Source organism: Homo sapiens, chromosome 12, assembly GCF_000001405.40.
Source record: "Homo sapiens chromosome 12, GRCh38.p14 Primary Assembly".
NCBI lineage: Eukaryota > Metazoa > Chordata > Mammalia > Primates > Hominidae > Homo > Homo sapiens.
Genome location: NC_000012.12, coordinates 92465840 through 92484650, shown reverse-complemented (window position 1 = coordinate 92484650; position 18811 = coordinate 92465840). Strand labels below are relative to the sequence as shown.

The window sequence follows — 18811 nt, the reverse complement described above, 5'->3', positions numbered from 1 at the left end:
CTGACTGAACATCTGGTAACTTTCTGAGCACCAAGGACACAAAAAATAAATTGGACATGGACACTGACTATGGCCAACATGATATAGATGAATGAAAATTATTCATACATAACTACATGCGGAAATATTATTACTTACATGAGGGAATATTATTATCTAAGGGTCTGATATGAAAAGTCCTCATGAGGCAGGGCCATCTTTGGTACGTGCTATGATAAATCTAGTTAGGCAGAATAGACAAGTTTTGTAGAGCCTGAAGCTTATAGAATTTGGAGAATTCTCTTTTTGAGAGAATATAAAATTCTGAATTCAAAATCAGTCTCAAAAGCAAATATCTAGAGTGAGGATAGAAACCACAAGAAAATTGCCAGAGGCTTGGAGATGCAGGCCCCTGGCTTCTGAGATTTCTTGAGGTATTTTCACCTTGTTTCCCAAATCTACGTAGAAGACTCTATAGCTCCCAGTGACTTGCAGAACTCACAGGAATGTGAAACTGGGGTCTGAAACTTAAGCTTCAATGGCTTCAGGGTAAAATTATTTTGGGGCAAATTTCCAGAGCTTTGAGGTTGGTTGGACCATTCCTTCAAATAATAGAGGTGACTGCGAAAAGGGGGCAGGCCATGGAAGAGCTTTATACAGGGTGCTGTGACTGCTTCCTATACCACCACAAATCTTCAGGGAAAATGACATAAACCACATTAGGCCCATTGTAATTGTGTTTTTTATGGAAATGGGCGAAAAAATTAGTTTTGCATCTTGGTTGGTGTGGGATCAAAACAGAATTAAGAGGTGTATTAAAACATAAGTTAACTATATTGCAATATCTTAAATGCATGATAGACATAAAGCCAAGTGTCACTTAATGTCGGGCATGCATTCTGAGAAATGCATCACTAGGCAACTTCATAATTATGTGAACATCATAGAGTGTACTTCACAAACATAGATGGTATAGCCTACTACACACCCAGACTGTATGGTATAGTCTATTGCTTCTGGGCTACAAACCTGTACAGCATGTTACAGTACTGAAGACAGTAGGCAATTGTAACACAGTGGCAAGTATTTGTGTATCTATAAATAGAGAATGCATAATAGAAACACAGTATTACAATCTTATGGGCCCACCATCATATGTGTGGTCTGTTGTTGACCAAAACATCATTATGTGGCACATGTGCAAAACAACATAGCCACATAACATATTTTCCCAACATTTAGCACCTTAGAACAACAAACATTTGTTATCTCCTAGTTCTGTGAGTCAGGAATCTGCACATGGCTTAACTGGGTCCTCTGGTTCAGGGTCCCTTGCAAGGCTGCAGTCAATTAGTTAATTAGTTTTCTGGGATTGCCATAACAAAGCACCACAGACTGGGTAGCTTAAATAACAAAAATGTATTTTCATACAATTCTGGATGCCTAGATCAAGGTATCTGCAGGGTTGGCTTGTTCTGAGGCCTCTCTCCTTGGATTGTAGATGGCCGTTTCCTCTCTGTGTCTTCTTCGCATGGTCTTTCCTGTATATGTGTCTGTGTTCAAATTTCCTCTTCATATAAGAACACCAGTCCTATTGGATTAGGACTCATCCTAATGACCTCATTTTAACTTCATTACCTCTTTAATGACTATGTCTCCAAACAAAACCATGTTCTGAAGTGCTGGGAGTTAAGACTCAAACATATAAATTTGGGCAGGATGCAGTTTAGCCCATAACAGCCAGGTTGTAGGTACCTTAAGTCCCCACTGGGGAAAATCAGATTCCAGGCTCACTCATGTAGTTGTTGGTAGGATTTAGTTCCTTGTGGACTATAGGACTTTAGGGCCTTAGTTCCTCACTGGTTGTTGGATAGAAGCCAGTCTCAGTTCCTCGCCACATGAGCCTCTCCACAAGGCACCTCTCAACATGGCAGCTGTCTTCCCACAGCAACAAGAAACTCTGACACTGCCGGTAATTCATTCTTTGCCATTGTGGTTGAAATACTCCATCCATCACTGTGAAGTATTTAAAAAAAAGCTAACATTTAAAAATATATATTTAAACTATCACTGAAACCTTCACTTTTATTTCCCTTGAGGCTTTCCTCTTCTCTTTGTGTTGGTCCAGGATCCCAGGAACCAATCTGGAACAAAGGACAGGTAAGTCTTGCTTGGAAGCTCCAGGTAGTAAGAGAGCTGGGACTCATCCACCGGTAATGGATTGTGGTTTTCACAATGTCTCAGTGGAAAACCTTCTGTGAAGTTGGTGGCTATGTATTTACTGCTGTGATGGTGGTCTTGCTGGACCAGGGTCTTGGTAGTTTTTAAGGTGAAGATAATCTGGGTCTCTCTAAAGGCCAAGCTATTTTCCTAATGCTGCCATATTTATGTTAGAAGATGCTTCTAGTCTTAGCCACTTTGAGCCAGACTCCCAAGCCTTGATGCTGAGGCTTTATTACTAGTTCATATCCTTTGCCAAAGAGGCCAAAGAGGTAACCTCTTTTTTTTTCTTTTTTAAATGGGTATCATCCCAACCCATTGCAGATCTTAAAAATGAATGGGATTGCAATCTCTTTCCTTCTAAGGCAGTGATTTGGTCCAATGCAAAACTTTTCCTCCTCTCCATTGTGGACCAGCTCTACACAGTGGGGATACTGGAAAGAGATAAAAGACACATTTATACCTTCCCCAGAGAAATAGGTGCCCATTCCCCTTATCTTACATGATTGCCTAGAAATAGGAATAGGAAATTACTATAGACCCAATATTCCATATTATGGGAATAGACAACTTGACTGCAGTGGGTTGTCAGTAAAAGAACAAAATGTTTGAGAGAGTTAAACAGCTGCGTAGCATCCTCAGGCAGAGGGGTACGGACCACATACGGTCCTGATCACTTATGTAACTTTAGGTCAGGTTATTGCCACAGGTCCCAGCTGGACTATAGCTGGGCTTGTCTCCTTCAGGTTTTTCTGCTGTTAGAAAAAGGGGATTGGTGGAATTGCCATTCCATAAGTGTTGCAGTTTCTCCATAAGAAGATGACTGCCAAGAGCTGTATTTGAAGTGATCTTTTGGCAATTGGAAAACTAACTCGTATGCTATTATCTCCCTTACTATTACTTTCTGCTTTTTAGAAGTATGTCAGCTGTTTGAGGTGCCTTGGTTCCATTAAATGTTCCCTGTTATTCTAGTTTATTTTTTTATTTGACATATTTTTTAAGTTTGGGCTCTAATGACAAAAAAGAACAAATCTATTTTTATATGATCACCAACATCCAACCTTGTTCTAAATTTCTATCCCAGGCTTTCATCAAGGCAAAAACTAAACAACCATTCAAATAAACAAAAACCTTACAAATTTTAAGAAAATTTATTGTGCTTGTTCTGCCTTCCAGGCACTGTGCCAGGTGCCAAAAATAGAAAAATAAATTAAATCTAGTCCCTGCTGTAGAGAAGCTCCCAGTTTAATGGTGGGAAAAAACACATAATCATGGTAAAGCGCATAACGACTCAATTAATATTTGAGTTCCTACTCTGTTCAAGTTTCTGTGGCTTCAAAAATGAACACAACAGACATGAAGCCTGCCTACATGTAGATTAGAGTTTGTCAGAGAGAGCAACCATTGAACTATTCATTACAAGCATGATCAGTGTCTCCATGGGAAAAAAAATGAAGCATTATGAAAACGTTTAACAGGGGCACCACTTCTAATTTGAAGGGCAGAACAAATATTCATTTGGAAATAGTCGTGGCAACTGGGGATGGGGTGGAGAAAGAGGGTAGGCAGAAGAGTTCCAAAATAGCATGTGCAAAAGATCCTTGAGGCTGGAAAAAGAAAGATGTGTCCTGAAACCACAGGTAAGCTATCATGGCAGGAGTAAAAATGAGTCAGGACAGCGGGCATGGCTGCACGGGTTAAACTCTTAAGAGTAGCTGAATTCTCTCAAGTATAAAGATATGTCAATGTCAATAACATTTTTCTTCTTTTTTCTTTTTCTTTTTTTCTTTTTCTTTTTTTTTTTTTTAGATGGAGTCTCACTCTGTTGCCCAGGCTGGAGTGCAGTGACGTGATCTCAGCTCACTGCAACCTCTGCCTCCCAGGTTCAAGTAATTCTCCTGCCTCAATCACCTGAGTAGCTGGGACCACAGGTGCACACCACCATGCCCAGCTACCTTTTTTTTTGTATTTTTAATAGAGATGAGGTTTCACCATGTTGGCCAGGCTGGTCTCGAACTCCTGAGCTTAAGAGATCCACCTGTCTTGGCCTCCTAAAGTGCTGGGATACAGGCATGAGCCACTGCGCCCGGCCAGGAACTTCTTTAAATGATGAAACAATTGTACAGTTTGCCTGTGTTGCTGGAGGTATTTATTTCTTCAATAAACGCTTATTGAATGTTATTTATGTGTGGATTCTCTGGTACACACTGAGAATAAAAAGATGAGTAAGGCAGAATCTATGCACATCAAGTGGTTTGTACTGCAGTGGAGGAAGATAGAAGATGTAATAAAAACAGAGATGAGAAAACAATTCTATGTTCATATTGTTTAAAGAAGAAGTGTACTTCTTAGGTAGCTATTATAAGATTTATGGCCCAAATCAAGTCTAAAAAATAATAAGGGAGCACTAACTGGCTGTGGAACTCCAACCTGGTGATGCATCAGAATGTTCTGGGCAACTTTGTAAATTGCAAATTCCTGAGTTCCTCCTTAGATCCAGTGGATTTTAATTTGTGGAGGTGAGACCCAAGAATCTATAATTCTTCTTTTTTTTTTTTGACAGGTTTCACTCTTCTTGCCCAGGCTGGAGTGCAGTGGAGGATCATGGGCTCATGGCTCATTGCAGCCTAACCTTCTCAAGTAGCTGGGACTACAGGTGCATGCCACAACACCCAGCTAATTTTTTGTATTTTTAGTAGGGATGGGGTTTCACCATGTTGCCCAGGCTGGTCTCGAACTCCTGGGCTCAAGCGATCTGCCTGCCTTGGTCTCCCAAAGTACTGGGATTACAGGTGTTAGCCACCATGCCTGGCAGATTTAGAATTCTAAAAAGCACTCCCAGTGATTCTGCATATATTCTGCAAATGGCATTTGGGAACCATTGAGGAAGAGCATGGTATCTGTGAAGCCACAGTAACATCCCTCTAAACGTGTTCTTCAGGCTGTTAATAGATGACATGGGAAAAAAAGGATTCAGTGGTATAATCAGTTGAATTACATCTCCCTCCTCAAATTCAGATGTAAGTTCTAAACCTCAGTACCTCAGAATGTGACCTTATGTGGAGATAGGGTCTTTACAGAGGTAATCAAGTTAAAATGAAGTCGTTAGATGGACTCTAATCCACTATGACTGGTGTCTTTGCAAACAGATGGAATTTGGAGATAGACACCTATATGGGGAGAATGCCCTGTGAACATGAAATCAGCCATCTACAAGCCAAGGAGGGAAGCTTGGGACAGAGCTGCCAACACTTTGACTTTGAACTTCTAGCCTCTGGAACTGTGAGACAATACATTTCTGTTGTCTAAACTACCCAGTTGTTACTTTGTTAAGGCAGCACTCAAAAATGAATACAAGTGACTAAGTTACAGAGAGTTATGAATAAAATGATTTCTCTGCTGCAGGGGCTCCAGAAGCTTGGATGTGCTCTATCACCCTCTGAGAGCTGATGGCATGTGAATCTCATCCCAAATCTGAGTGCAGAGTGCTTTTTGTTTGGCATAGAGCATTTCATGAGACTGTTGTTCTGTGGTTCTGACTCAGAGAAACATCGAGTTTATTTCCCCTAAGGAAGCAGCCATGCCGTGGGTCTCACAGCTGCAGAAAGTTCAGCTTCATGGGACTGAGCTACTTTCAGGAAATAAGGATGCAGGTGAAAATTTTTGATTACATTTAGTTCAAATCCATTACACCTCCTGGGGGCAGAGCAGAACAGCTCCAAGGAAATAACCTACTGGAAATGATCAGGAGTCATTTTTCTTGATCCATGAATCCTTTGATTCCTGTTATTTCACATCTGTGACTCAGAAGCAGCCATTTGAAGAGAAAAAAACCAAGAAGTACTAGGTTGTCTCCCTTAGTGGAGTGGTTCAGGAAATTTAGGAAAAAAATATGCAAGCGTGATTTTATCAAATTGAACACACCACTACAGATTTGCCTTTGGAGCACTCCATTTATTCCTACTCAGACCTTGACAAACTGATCCATCTGTCTTGAAATGGAACATTGGGAGATAAATGGACCATCATCATTGTCAGTGGTTAAAAAAGTAAGACTAAAGATTTAACTTGTATATTTCAGTTTCAAACATGCACACATAGAGTGAAGGAAATGTGAACCGGATGAACACAAGCTTCCTAAACATTTGCAAAATCGCGATACTTCAACTTCTTATTTATCTGATGTGTATTATATTATTTAAAGCTAAACTTTAAAAAATTTTAGACTTGCTATTTGATCTACGGGTGTGACAAGTATTTGTGTCTAAATCTGGTGAAAACTTGGGATCATGCAGACAAAACATTCATCAATCCTTGTTTCATATTTTTAGGTCACTATCAATAAACTCTACCCACCTCTCATGCTCATTTCAGTTCTCATCTCTCTCCCGCGGTCCTTACCACCATCCCTGCAGACCCAGTGATCTCTCACCCTGATAACTCATTCAACATGTACTGCCAGTTTCCACAGCCCCCATAACCAGTGCCCAAAACCAGTGGCCACTTCCAACCAAAATGCACTTTCATTGGCTCGGCTTCCAGAGTTCCTGATTTATTAGGGCTGGGTAAGTTGAAGTCTGTGTTTTTAACAGGTGAGTCTAATGGTCAATTCCACCTGAGAATCAAAACGACTCATTTGGTATTTACCCTATAATGTCTTATATTGCAAGTGAGTCTGTCTCATCCTAGGCCATCCTTTCCTTAACTGAATTGATGTTTTTAATTGAAAAGCCATGTTTTTGAATGCTGGAAAGTTATTTTAATGCTATTTTTCAATTTTTGTAAGTATACTTTTGATTCTTTGTTAAAGTTGTCATCTGTTTCTTCTGGAAGTTCTATTTTACTAGTAGAATGTTCATCTTGGGGCATGGGTTGTTGTTATTCCTCAATCTGGCTGCTGGGTTCCCTTTGGGTGTTTATGATTTTAACTGCCTGCCCCTGGCTCTAGTTACCTGGATTAGCTCTGAGGACACTTGAGTCACTGGAATGGAGGGAGATAGGACAGTTTCAGGTCCGGTTAGCAAATCATCTGTACAAGTACAAGGAGAAGACACTTCTCTACAAACCTGCAATATGTTTGACCAGCCTCAAGGGCAGAGAGGATCTGAGCCTATCTGTTCCCCTCCCTCCACGCCCCTCCGAAGCCAAAGAGACTAGCAAGTACCCCCAAGATAATCTCATCAATCTGGCGCATTGCTCTTTAGAGATTTCACTGATCTGTCTCTCAGGGCCACACTCTCTGGGCCCTGGGAGATAGCATGGTGCTCTCATTCCTGCCCCAGGTTCATGACTACTGCTGCACAGGAATCATCTCATTGTCAGCTCTCTCCAACTAAACCTCCACAGATGGGAGGCCTCGCATGTGACCTCTAGGCTCCCCCTATCACCCTGTCCTAAAAGGTACTCTGCTTAAGATAGATAGCTGGAAGTTGATTAGAATTAGAATGGAAGACTCATGGGGAGCTGCAGCATAGGCACTCAGGACACAATTTGCACAAAATACCCTCATTGCCTAACCCAGGCAACTAGAACCAGGGGCAGGCAGTTAAAATCATAAACACCCAAAGGGCACTCAGCAGCCAGATTGAGGAATAACAACCCATGAACTAAGATGAATATTCTACTAGTAAAATAGAACTGCCAGGAGAGCAACTTTCACAAAGAATCTCATTGTTATTGAACTTTCCATGCGTGTATGTCTGGTTTCTCCAGCTAAGGGGCTTTGGATATATCATCTATCTTAGCCTACTGTAAGAAAATACCTCAGATGGGATAATTTATAAACAACAGAAATTTATTGCTTACGGTCCTGGAGGCTGGGAAGTCCAAGATCAATGTACTGACAGATTCAATGTCTGATGAGAGCTCACTCTCTGCTTCAAAGATGGTACTTTGTTGCTACATCCTCACATAGTAGAAGGGACAAATGAGCTCCCCCAGTCCTCTCTTATAAGAGTACTAATTATTATTATTATAACAGCATTCATGAAGGTGGAGTTTTCATGACCTAATCAACCCCCAAAGACCCTACCTTTACGGGGCCTCACGATTACTTTCGTGATTAGGTTCCAACATATAAATTTTGTGGGGATAAAAACATTCAGTTTATAGCATCACATAGCCTCACCATGCCTCACTTTCTTTAATTTGAAAACAGATAATAACCTCCACATAAAACTGGCATTTAAATCACAGCTATCACTTATTGTACATTCTTTCTGTGACAGGCACCTTGCTATGTACTTTACATGCATTAGTGCCAAATGAGATAATTTGAATAATTCACCTGGCATGTTACCTGGTACAGGTGGATGCACTGTACATGCCCATTGTTCTCTTTTGTTGTTGCTCTTAGCTGCTGACCTATATGGGAATAGGTGTTGTCTTGCACTTTTCACTGCCCCCTTCTCCCCACTGCTCTTCATACCCTACCTTGCATCGGAGCACTCGACATATTTCTTGGTTGGCTAGCTGAATAGATCATGCCCTTCTAAATGACAATTTCCTATTTTTTCTATACTTGGTAAACTCAGTTAATTTTACATGTTTCTAAAAGGCCTAGCTAAAAGTTTATTTCTTTTGTAAAACTATAGGTAATATCTCTTGTCTGATAGAATATCATCTATACATTTCATAGGTTATTTACCCCCAATTCTACCTCATATTCAAGTCACTTATGCCCATGAACTATATTCCTTACTGGAATACATCTCTATTCTGCTCCAAGTTGAGAAGTGCCTAGAATTCCTCTTTTAAAATTCTTCCCCTAAAACTTAGGATAATTACCATAGAAAACAAGAACTGGAGGAATCCTCCCTTCATTTCTTTCAGAGAAAAACCCATCAAATTAGATGGGAAGAGATCATGTGAAGCAAGACAGATTTGCAAGTTAGAAGGTGTATGTGCAGAAAGAAAATGATAGAACATTCTGGTTAAAGTGTTGTGTTAATCTATCTTGGGCATCTTGCTCTCTCTTGTACCTTTTTAGGTGAGTTTTTCCACTAATGCTCATATGCTCATCTACTCAAATTAGCATTTGCATCTCAATTGACTCAGATGAAAAAAAATCAATATTTATAGTATAGGCAACTCATATCTTTAAAAAGCTTTCATTTATGGTGAATTGTATTTTGGAGTACAGCTTTTTATGAGTTGGAATTGAGCTCTAATTTATTGCCAACAGTTACCTATACAATCGATCCTAGGGTTTTGTTTAGTATAATCCACATTCCTTCACTGTCTGGTGTGGGCTCTGCCCTGTGGTAGGAACTTCTAAGAGAACTAGACTTGAGTCTCTTGCCTTAAGTGATTAGAAGTCTACGGAGGGCAGGAGGCAAGAGCATGAATTTGGACAGCGCAGATACCAGGGTTTGAGTCCTGAAATACCACCCACACAGCCTCTGGTCCAATAATGAGCCTGATACATAACAAACTTTATATATATATTAACTATTATTATTGGTAAGGGAATAAATTCCTTGCAAAAAATTGCTAACGTGCATGCTCGTGGAAGACAAGGTCCCAGTTTTGTTTCTTTTAGAAAATTCCACAATGTCCAGCACAGTATTATTACAGGTGTTGCAGCTGAGCCCTTTCAGAGTGTGAAGTTATCACTGGAAGGTGGTTGTCCCATCAGGAAATACATTTCTCAACCACTTTGCACTTAGGTATGGTTGTGTGATTTGTTAATTCCAAGAGCAAGTGAGCAGAAGATGGCTAAAAACAGGTACACCTTCTCAAATTTCTTTTCTCTTATCTTGGATAAATGCAGAAGACTTTGAAGCTCTAGAAGATGATGGAAACACAGGATGAAAGAATTCTGGCTGCCTGAATCCTGTAGTTACTTACATTGCCCTGCTTCCATGAATAAAAATTGCACCTTTAAGGTTTTAGGCCATTGTGATTTGGGGGTTTATTTATGACATCAGCTTGCATTGCCTTAACTAATACTGCTGTTCAACAAATTTGTTGAAGAAATAAATGAGCTATATAACTAAATCACCCCAAGTACAATGCTATTTAGTATCTAAATTTATTTCATCAATCTGTCTGTGGTCTCATTACAGTCAATCAGAATTTAAAGTGAGGCAGTGAGATGGAGTAGTTCTGAGGCAATATAGTGGCTTTTTCTTTTTATATTTTAAAGAATACATCAAACCTTTGTTGTAAAAAAGAAGTAACCAAAAGAACCTCAGAGTGAAGTGGGGGTGGGGAGGTTATTGTATATGTTGGAGTGTTTCATCTTAGTCATGAACTAATAAATTAAATAGAAAGCATTCGTATGTTTTCTGTTCAATGTACTATGTTTTTTGTCTTTTAAAAACATGTGGGATTGCAAAATACGGTCAATAATTCCCTTATTGAACTAAAAGAGAATTAGAAAAGGCTGCTAATAGCTTTTGTGTTTAGAAATGTAATGTCTTCCAGTGAGTTATTTCATGGGTGAAGTGTCTGGAATTGCTTCTGAATACTGGATTATAGATATTTTTCTTTCTTCTTCTTTTTTTCCCTTTTCTCTTTTTTAACTAAGAGAACTTAAACATGATATTAAAAAAACATTTTATCTTGTGGTAGAAATGTCAGCCACATTTCAATTCACTCTTAGGCTTCCCCTAAAAGGAATGACTTTTATGCATAACAATAGCCTTGTTTTTATAAGTGGTTGGTAATATCTGCAAATGTGTAAGGCGTTCATTTTCCAGGAGCTCTTTTCTCCCTGGTAACACACCAGGAAATATCAGAGTGTTGTTATTTGAATTCTTTCTTGTGCTCTGACTCCCAGATGAATTGAAATTCAACTTCACAGTCAAATGAGTGGCCATTTAAAGCTCAGGTGTGTATTTCTTAAGACCGTCTCAAAGGATATATAACTGCTTATGTCTTTCCAAAAGACAGCAAACTGAATTTTAATTGGATCTTGCCTCTCCCAAGAGATCATTATACTTCTACTCTAAGGCCATATATTATAAAGCTTCAGTATGAATTGGAACATGTAGCCCATGTTTTGGTTTAGTGTTTAAAGCTGAAGTTATAACAGCTGACACTATAGTCCTTTCAGCAACACCCCCAATCAAAATTTTATTTAGTTTGAGTCTCTTTAAAAAAAATGAACATACACACAAGCATGCAAACGTACACACACACGTATATAACTTGCATGTCAAAATTATGTAAACTTTCAGATTATTAAAAAACAGTTCCTTTTTTAAGGAAATAAGTCTCAAATGGGACTAGTTCCAAATTTTTCTTGTCTCAATCCCACCTTGACCTTGTCAGATGAATTTAAAAAAATAAAGCAGTGGAAAAATTTATATATATATATATATATATATATATACACCAAAGACCTGCTGACTCAGAACTGGATCTGGAATATCCTTTTGAGACACAGAATGAATCTTTTCATCAGATGGTATGGAAGACCACTGATGCATTCATGAGCACTCCTGGAGCTGGTCTCCCTCTGATCTTAGAAACGGACAAGACAACATCTAAAAGGAAACCAACAGACTTGCAGACCTAATTCACTAAACTCTAAATAACACAGCCATGTGCTTCTTTGTTCTTCATAGTTTAATCATCCATGGAAATTTCCAGAGGTAAATTAAGACTATGAGGACCAATGTTAAAAATACTGTGAAAACATCCCAGAGCATGCTGACGTGTGGAATTCATACTTTAAAACTCGTAAGGGGCAATCTTATGCCTCATAAGGAGGCATAAGACCTCCTTACGGTCTTGCCTTATACCATAACAAAGTGGACCTTTGTGTATTATATGTAGTTAAGACTAGTTTTTATATATATATTTTCTTCTTGAAAAATGCATAGGTTTATTCCAGATTTGAATGTTTTAGAATTTTTTTTCCTTAAATTTGCAGACAGAGACGTGAATCAGGAACCAGGCCCCAGAATCCAGAATATGTCTCTTAGTTTTTCTGAGACATGATTTCTTCAGTTGTAACATTAGGAGACTGAAGTAAGTAGTCTCTAGAACAGTTAGTGTTATAACATTTTATGGTTCTAAAGTTCAAGTGGCTTTAAAAAAATTATTTATATAAGACTCAGTTACTAGTCAGCATATATCCCTAGATTTCAGCATTTTTCTGCCATGATGTAAAAGAATATTTGAATTACGTACTCAGTACTCTCAGTACTGGAATCTTAGACAGGCTTCAGTTTGCCTATTTATTTCTACTTAATTATCTTCCACTAAATTTGCTTCTCTTTTATTAAAGATTTTTAAAAATTGTATGAACATCTTAGTTACAAGGCTAAAAACCTTGAAGTTTTCTTCAATTGTTTATGTTCATTCACCCCTAATATTAAATCAATCACACAGTTCTCTTGGGTGCACCTCTGTGAAGGGTAAGACTACTTTTACAAAACAGAATTGTAGAATTGGAAGTGATTTCCTTTCACTGCCCCACCAATATTGTAGAATTGCTTTGAGGATTTGAAGAAATATATCCACCATTTCCCAAGAAAAAAAAACACATATACAATTTTTCATATAATTTCCAGGGATTCAAAGACTTTACCTAAAGTTCTTCCATGGATATCAGATTAAGAATCCCTCGTATAGGCCAAATGTTTTCAAAGTCAGAATTTCACTCAATAACAGCCCTGGCAGGTGGCTTTCTGATTCTGCATCTAGTGACTGAGAATGCTCATTTTGGGCACTTTCTCTTCCCTTATTTGTAATGAAACTGTTATTGTTGAAGAACTTATTTGGGGTTAAAATATTTGCCCCAGTTGACCACAGGTCTTCATTATTTGAAGGTATCTCCTATATCCCACACAAATCTTCTATTTTTCATGTTAAATATTTACCATCTGTGTCTTTTCTTGCATGGCTTCCAGACTCTTTCCTATCCTGGTCATTTTCCTCTAGACAGTCCTTAAGTGTCTTGACTTAATTTTGGTTCATTGAAATGAATAACATTTTTTATACTTGATATGAATAACCAATGCAAAATTCCTGGAAAATTTCTTTCATTTCAGGCACAGAGGAAAGGACTTGAACTGCCTAACATTGGCTAACATGTTGGTTTTGATCTTTGCTAGCCATTTTGACTTAGTGCTGGTTACTTAACCTCCTCCATTTTTTTCATCTGTAAAATGGGAATAGTTACACCTTCATTATAAATTTGTTATTTTAGCAGATAGTAGGTACTCAATAAATGGTAGATATTATTTCTACTCTTAATTCAGATTATTTGGGATATTTTGAAAGAAACATCATATTGAAGACAGACAAATATAATCTCCAAACTATTTTTAACCAACATTAAACTTGGCCTTTCCTACCGCAAAGTCATGATATTAAATTTTTTATTGAAGTACAAAATGTGATAATTACTTAATATTGCTAAATTGTTTTGTATTGGGTTTGGCTCATATGGCAGGCTTCTGAGATATTGCTAACCTCTGATCCTGTCATTCAGTGTGTGTTACCTGTCCTTCTTACTCTTGTGATCTTCAGGCAGGTGTACAGGCAAGGACCAAACTCCCCAAGACACATTAGCCACTTTTTCCAGAGTTGACATTAATTCACTAAACGACTTTCTATTGTGACCAGAGTTGTCATGTACCTTGCTGACAAAATGATACTAAGCATGTGGGATTTCCCTGACCGAATTATTTAAATAAAAAAGTGGGGGCGGGGGGGAAGAAAGAAAGAAATTGACATTGGTGTGAAACGATTTGTTTTGTGTGAGCTCATGCTGACTCAGTTGTTGAACTAAATCCTTTTCAAGTCCCCTAGTGATAAGAAAACTATAGGAAGAAGGCAGGGACTGTACCTTATTTGCACAGAGTCAAACAGATTTTGAGGTCCCTACATGTATAATAGATCATTTCTTTGACTTGCAGATCAGAGTGAAAACAATTTCAAGAGCAAGTAAAAGGAGAAAGTCTGGCTCTTCAAAGCATGGTCTTATTCCCTCACACATAAGGTGGCTCTTATGTTCCTCCAGAGAACTTGTACAGAGCATGGCATGGCGGTGGGTCTCGTCAGAAGGAAAAGTGTGGGTGGCTGGGTGTGAGGCTCCTCTCCTTGCCCAGACCCTCTAATCCTCTCCGAGGTCAGGCACAGGAAGGAAAAATAATAAAGTAGACATTTATTCCTTCCAAAAGACTTGCTAAAAGGAAACTCTCTGAGAAACCCCTTGGCTATTTTTATGAATGAAATTTTTTTAAAAAAGGTTTTTAGATGAATTTTCCAAATATCTATTAGTCTGAGAGAAAGAGGGGGAAAAAAAAGACTCAATGCTAATACCCTTTGCATGAGCTCTAGTTTGCTCTTGCCTCCAGCTGTTGAATGAGTTAGGGTCATATTTGGAAGAACAGCTCATTCTGTTTGGAAGGTCATGCAAGGGAGTCCGGAAGAGGAGGGGCGTGGAGATGCCAGACAGAAGGGCGAGCCAGCAGACACACGTGGACAGGGCTGAAGCCAGCTCCTCTTACTCTTGGTGTGTCACTGCCTGCAATGGAATCCAAGGGTCTGCCATCAGGAGTGCAGGAGTACTGTGACCTCTCTTGGAACCTGGCGGTGAAGTCTCCTAGAAAGCATGTTTATTCAGGGTCCCTGATCCACAACAGGAGCCTTCGCTTTGAATTTAGATTAATTGAGAGCTCTGTTAGTATAATTGAGTGCACTTTCCCATCCCTGCCCTCTATAAGTAAAGGGACAGTTAAAACATTTTCCTTTTATTAGAGTCTGTTCTAAAGTTGTAAGGTATGATGAGATGTAGGACGTGAAAGGTTTTACGTTCTCCAGAGGAAGACGCAATATCCAATCAATATATTTTTCTTATCTTAACCTGATATCTTATTTAAAGCAAATAACAAGTGTCCAAAAGCATCTGGCTCTATTTTCCTGGATAAAATGCAGGAATAAATTAAATTCCCACAATACGTAAACTCTCTATACAAATTAGCACATGGAAAAAGGCAACGATCCTTTCAAATAAGTGTTTAGTACATAAAATGAAGCTAACCCCCATAAGAACACTTATAAATGGTAACCTAAGACATAGCAAGGAATTAGTTTAGCTCTCTAAAAACTTACTACCTAGGAATGTATTAAATTAAGGAAGAAATTGACTCATTTGGAAAGGTGGTCCTTTTACATCATCTATACTACGTATATTTTTTAAAGATGAGGGTCTCACTGTGTTGCTCAGGCTGATCTCGAACTCCTGGGCTCAAGCAGCCCTCTTGTCTCGGCCTCCTAAATAGCTGGGAGTACAGGTGCATGTGCCACCATGCCCAGCCTTATAGTCTTATGTTTTTTAAATGATGCCTATCAAATAGAGTGGCCAAAAGCATGCTATTTTTTATTCTTTTATCAATAAATTTTTTTTAATTTTATTTTTAATTGACACATGATAGTTGTACATATTTATGGGGTAAAATGTGATGCTTTGAAACTGGCATACCCTATGTAATAATCAAACCAGAGTATTTAGCATATCCATTACCTCAAACATTTATCATATCCTTGTGGTGAGAACATTCAAAAGCCTCTCTTCTATCTACTTTGAAATAGACAATGCAATGTTGTCAACCACAGGCACCCTGCTGTGCAATAGAGCACCAGGATTTATTCCTATTTAACTGTAACTTCTTAACCGTTGCCCAATCTCTCCCTATCCTCCCCTGCTCCCCTTCTCAGTTTATCTTCCATTCTCAAGTTCCTAATCTGAAAAAAATGCACCTAGTTTCTATCTTGCATACTTGTGAGTCTCGGCGATATCATCCATATATGCACACAGTTCTCAGTGCAGGAGATGCCCTCAGCAAATGGCAACTAGCCATTCCTCTATTTGAAAGACAGTCAGACACAATGGCCTGGGGTGCTTGCCTTGTGGATGTTCTGCAGTTTCTAAGCAATTCTGCTGCAGAAGCACTACTGGGGGACACCCCCTCTTCAGGTGAAACTGCGATGTAATGAATGCCTTTTAATAATTCGGTCATCAATTTCCCTTGAGTTGGTCCCACATTGAACCTGTCATAGGCTCGCATCCGTTAATCTTAAGAAATACGGTTTGTTGCATTTTAGAGATCATGGAAATGATCATTTCAAAGTAGTTTTCCTCCTGTTTCATCTGGGATTTATAAAGAACTTCAGCCATTCCTAAATATGAGACAAAAAGGTCTGACAGCAAGTGACTTTAGAGAGATATCTGGCTCAGAAAAGACTACCAAAGTCCAGGAGATGGTTGGAAAGATGGGCCCATATGAGAATTCTGTGTTTATTTTCTCCCTAGGTGAATGTCTTTGCTGATAATGTTTCCAGGCACCACTGGGCAGTGAGTCATTTTTGGCCCTACCCACTTCACTTAAGAGATACGAACTGAATTTAAAACCCAGATATCTGAGGAAGGCCATCTCATGCTCCTTCAGGGCACCCACAGCCCCAGCAGCAACAAAAGGTGGTGATAATGGAGGGAAGTAGAGAGGGAGACCCAGGAAATCACATGCATTAACTAGAGTTTTCATGAACAGAGTTGAAAAAAGAAGACATTTCAAATTTTAAATTCTTCTCCCAACTCCTATACCTGGCTCTTTAATGTTATAAAAATCAGAGGATTCCACTAGGGGGGATAAATGTTTTGAAGAAGTAATCCATTGATCACTTCCTCTCACTCGACATGTTTAACTAGATGGAATCAATACTTCTTAGCCTAGCAATGGGTTTGTAAAAAAAAAAAAAAAAACGGTAACACAATTGGATGTTGTAAGGCAACTTAGGATAAAAGGATCCTGTAGACAAATTCCTCCTTATCCCTTACCCCACCTGTGAGCACCTTTGATTAAAAGTCAGATCTGTATGGATATATTAAGTCACCAAATTCATGGAGGTTAGGGCACAAATCTTTTTTTTTCATTTTTCAGTGCATTTACTTGTCATCCAACACCTGCCCTAATGACACACACAGAAACAAAGAATCTTGAGTTTTAAACTGAGCACAAGAAATTGAAAATATAACTATGTAAAACATCAAAAGTCCCACCCACTTTTTAAAAGAACTTGCTTAATTCAAGCATATTTAAGAAATAGTGCCCCTGTCTAACACATTTCTATTACATTAGCACAGTGCCTACTTGCAGGTTTTATTTCTTGCAGTTCAATGAGTACAGTATTTCAACTGGAGAACTCGAAACAGACACAAAGGCTTTTTTTTTTTTTTTTTTTAGTTAACCCTTCAGAGAAAACATGCAGGGACAATCACCACTTCTTCATTTTCACTGTCACCTGGATTCACAACCATGCAGCCAAAGACAGTTTCAGATGGGCAGATGGCCCTAGTGGTTAATAGAGATGAGAGAGGGAAAAGAAATAAATGAATGCTCTGTTTTCTGTGTAAGCAAATAAAAAGGCAGAGGAAACAAAAGGAATGAACCAGCCAATGGGGTTGAATCATCGAGTCCCTCTAAACATACCTTGACTTTCCCATGCAGGGATCTACTTCCCCGATAGCCAGTTCAGCGTGGATACTCATGCCGATGAGCCTAAGAATGTTTGCCTGTCAGAGATAAACACTGCATTTCTGCCTGCTGCACACAGAGTTGCTGGAACCTGACAATGCCGTGTGCGAGTAATAAGCCATCATGAAATGGTGAAAGAGTCAGGGCTCTTGAATTACGCTTGCTTTATATGGGTTGAATTGCACATCTAGGGCAATGTTTGGCCAAGTGAACAGGGCATGCAAAGACCTTGCTTCCTCTCTGTGCTGTGGGGAACTGAGACTGTGCCGGGCCTGCAAACGCGGTGAGGAAAAATCCATTTGAATGCTTACTGCTGAATGGTGCTGGGCATTGTCAGCTTTTGTTTACTTCATCTTACATGTGAAGATCGCAGCTGTTCCTTTCAGTAAAAAGAAGTAGGAGAATGTAGCAACCAACCTCACATTTTCCCCTCCTCCAAATGTTTGTGGAGCCCAACAGCTGTCTTTGCAAATCCTGTCACTCAGGATTGGAATGGTTCTACATAATCAAGAATGGAGTGGTGAGGCTGAGATTGTTGGCTGGCTCGAGGTAGCAGGTGGGAATGAACTGTTCTCTTAATGGGCTCACTTGGTCTGTTCCTGCAGGGACTGACTCAAAAAAGAAAAAAGAAAGTTTAAAGGAGGCGATGAAGGAAAGTTGAACACATATGTCTTGTATTTCATACGTATAGATCTGAATGGCTGTGAAGCATGAATTCACTGGTTGTTAGAATTGTAAGGGATTTGAAAGGTCCTATTGTCTAGGAGTTTTCAAATTATTTTTAGCAGCAGAGGTTTTTTTTTTTTTCTTTCCTCAAATGAAGTCTTAGACTAGGGATATTGTGTGATAAATGAAAATACCTACATAGAATAAGCGGAAGCATCAATGGAAAACTGGGCTGGGTATAAGAAAAGCAACTTCAATAACAAATGAGCTCAGTTCTGGTAACAGGGCGGGAGTCATGAGGACTGAGGCAAATTGGATGTGCTTGGAGAGGACGAGTGCTCCTCCTTCTCAGCACAGCCACGCACGGCATAAGGATGTTTTGGTCAAGAAAGACTGCGTGTATGATAGTGGTCCCAGATTATAATACTGTATTTTTATTGTACTTTTTCGAT

At 39.1% G+C, this 18811-nt stretch overlaps 1 long non-coding RNA gene across 1 annotated transcript, besides 6 other annotated features; it reads right to left on the bottom strand.

The window, feature by feature from the left end:
* Positions 1 to 703: 703 nt before the first annotated feature.
* LINC02397 (long intergenic non-protein coding RNA 2397) lies at positions 704 to 17972 on the bottom strand. Its single transcript, NR_144532.1, has 2 exons — positions 17649 to 17972; positions 704 to 2633 (listed from the first exon to the last, which is right to left on the bottom strand). It is a non-coding gene; the product is annotated as a long intergenic non-protein coding RNA 2397 (long non-coding RNA).
* Positions 16788 to 16847: an enhancer, noted in NCBI's record as "active region_6743". NCBI's record gives its function as "activates an Ori minimal core promoter by ATAC-STARR-seq in GM12878 lymphoblastoid cells {active_cell/tissue: GM12878}" and the evidence as "EXISTENCE:reporter gene assay evidence [ECO:0000049][PMID:35858748]".
* Positions 17628 to 17717: an enhancer, noted in NCBI's record as "active region_6742". NCBI's record gives its function as "activates an Ori minimal core promoter by ATAC-STARR-seq in GM12878 lymphoblastoid cells {active_cell/tissue: GM12878}" and the evidence as "EXISTENCE:reporter gene assay evidence [ECO:0000049][PMID:35858748]".
* Positions 17824 to 18331: an enhancer, noted in NCBI's record as "OCT4-NANOG hESC enhancer chr12:92860096-92860603 (GRCh37/hg19 assembly coordinates)". NCBI's record gives its function as "activates a minimal SCP1, AML or CMV promoter by ChIP-STARR-seq in primed H9 embryonic stem cells {active_cell/tissue: H9 hESC(primed)}" and the evidence as "EXISTENCE:reporter gene assay evidence [ECO:0000049][PMID:30033119]".
* Positions 17824 to 18338: a biological region, named in NCBI's record as "Sharpr-MPRA regulatory region 8533".
* Positions 17918 to 18067: an enhancer, noted in NCBI's record as "active region_6741". NCBI's record gives its function as "activates an Ori minimal core promoter by ATAC-STARR-seq in GM12878 lymphoblastoid cells {active_cell/tissue: GM12878}" and the evidence as "EXISTENCE:reporter gene assay evidence [ECO:0000049][PMID:35858748]".
* Positions 18044 to 18338: a silencer, noted in NCBI's record as "tiled region #8533; K562 Repressive non-DNase unmatched - State 23:Low". NCBI's record gives its function as "represses a minimal TATA promoter and a strong SV40 promoter by Sharpr-MPRA in K562 cells {active_cell/tissue: K562}" and the evidence as "EXISTENCE:reporter gene assay evidence [ECO:0000049][PMID:27701403]".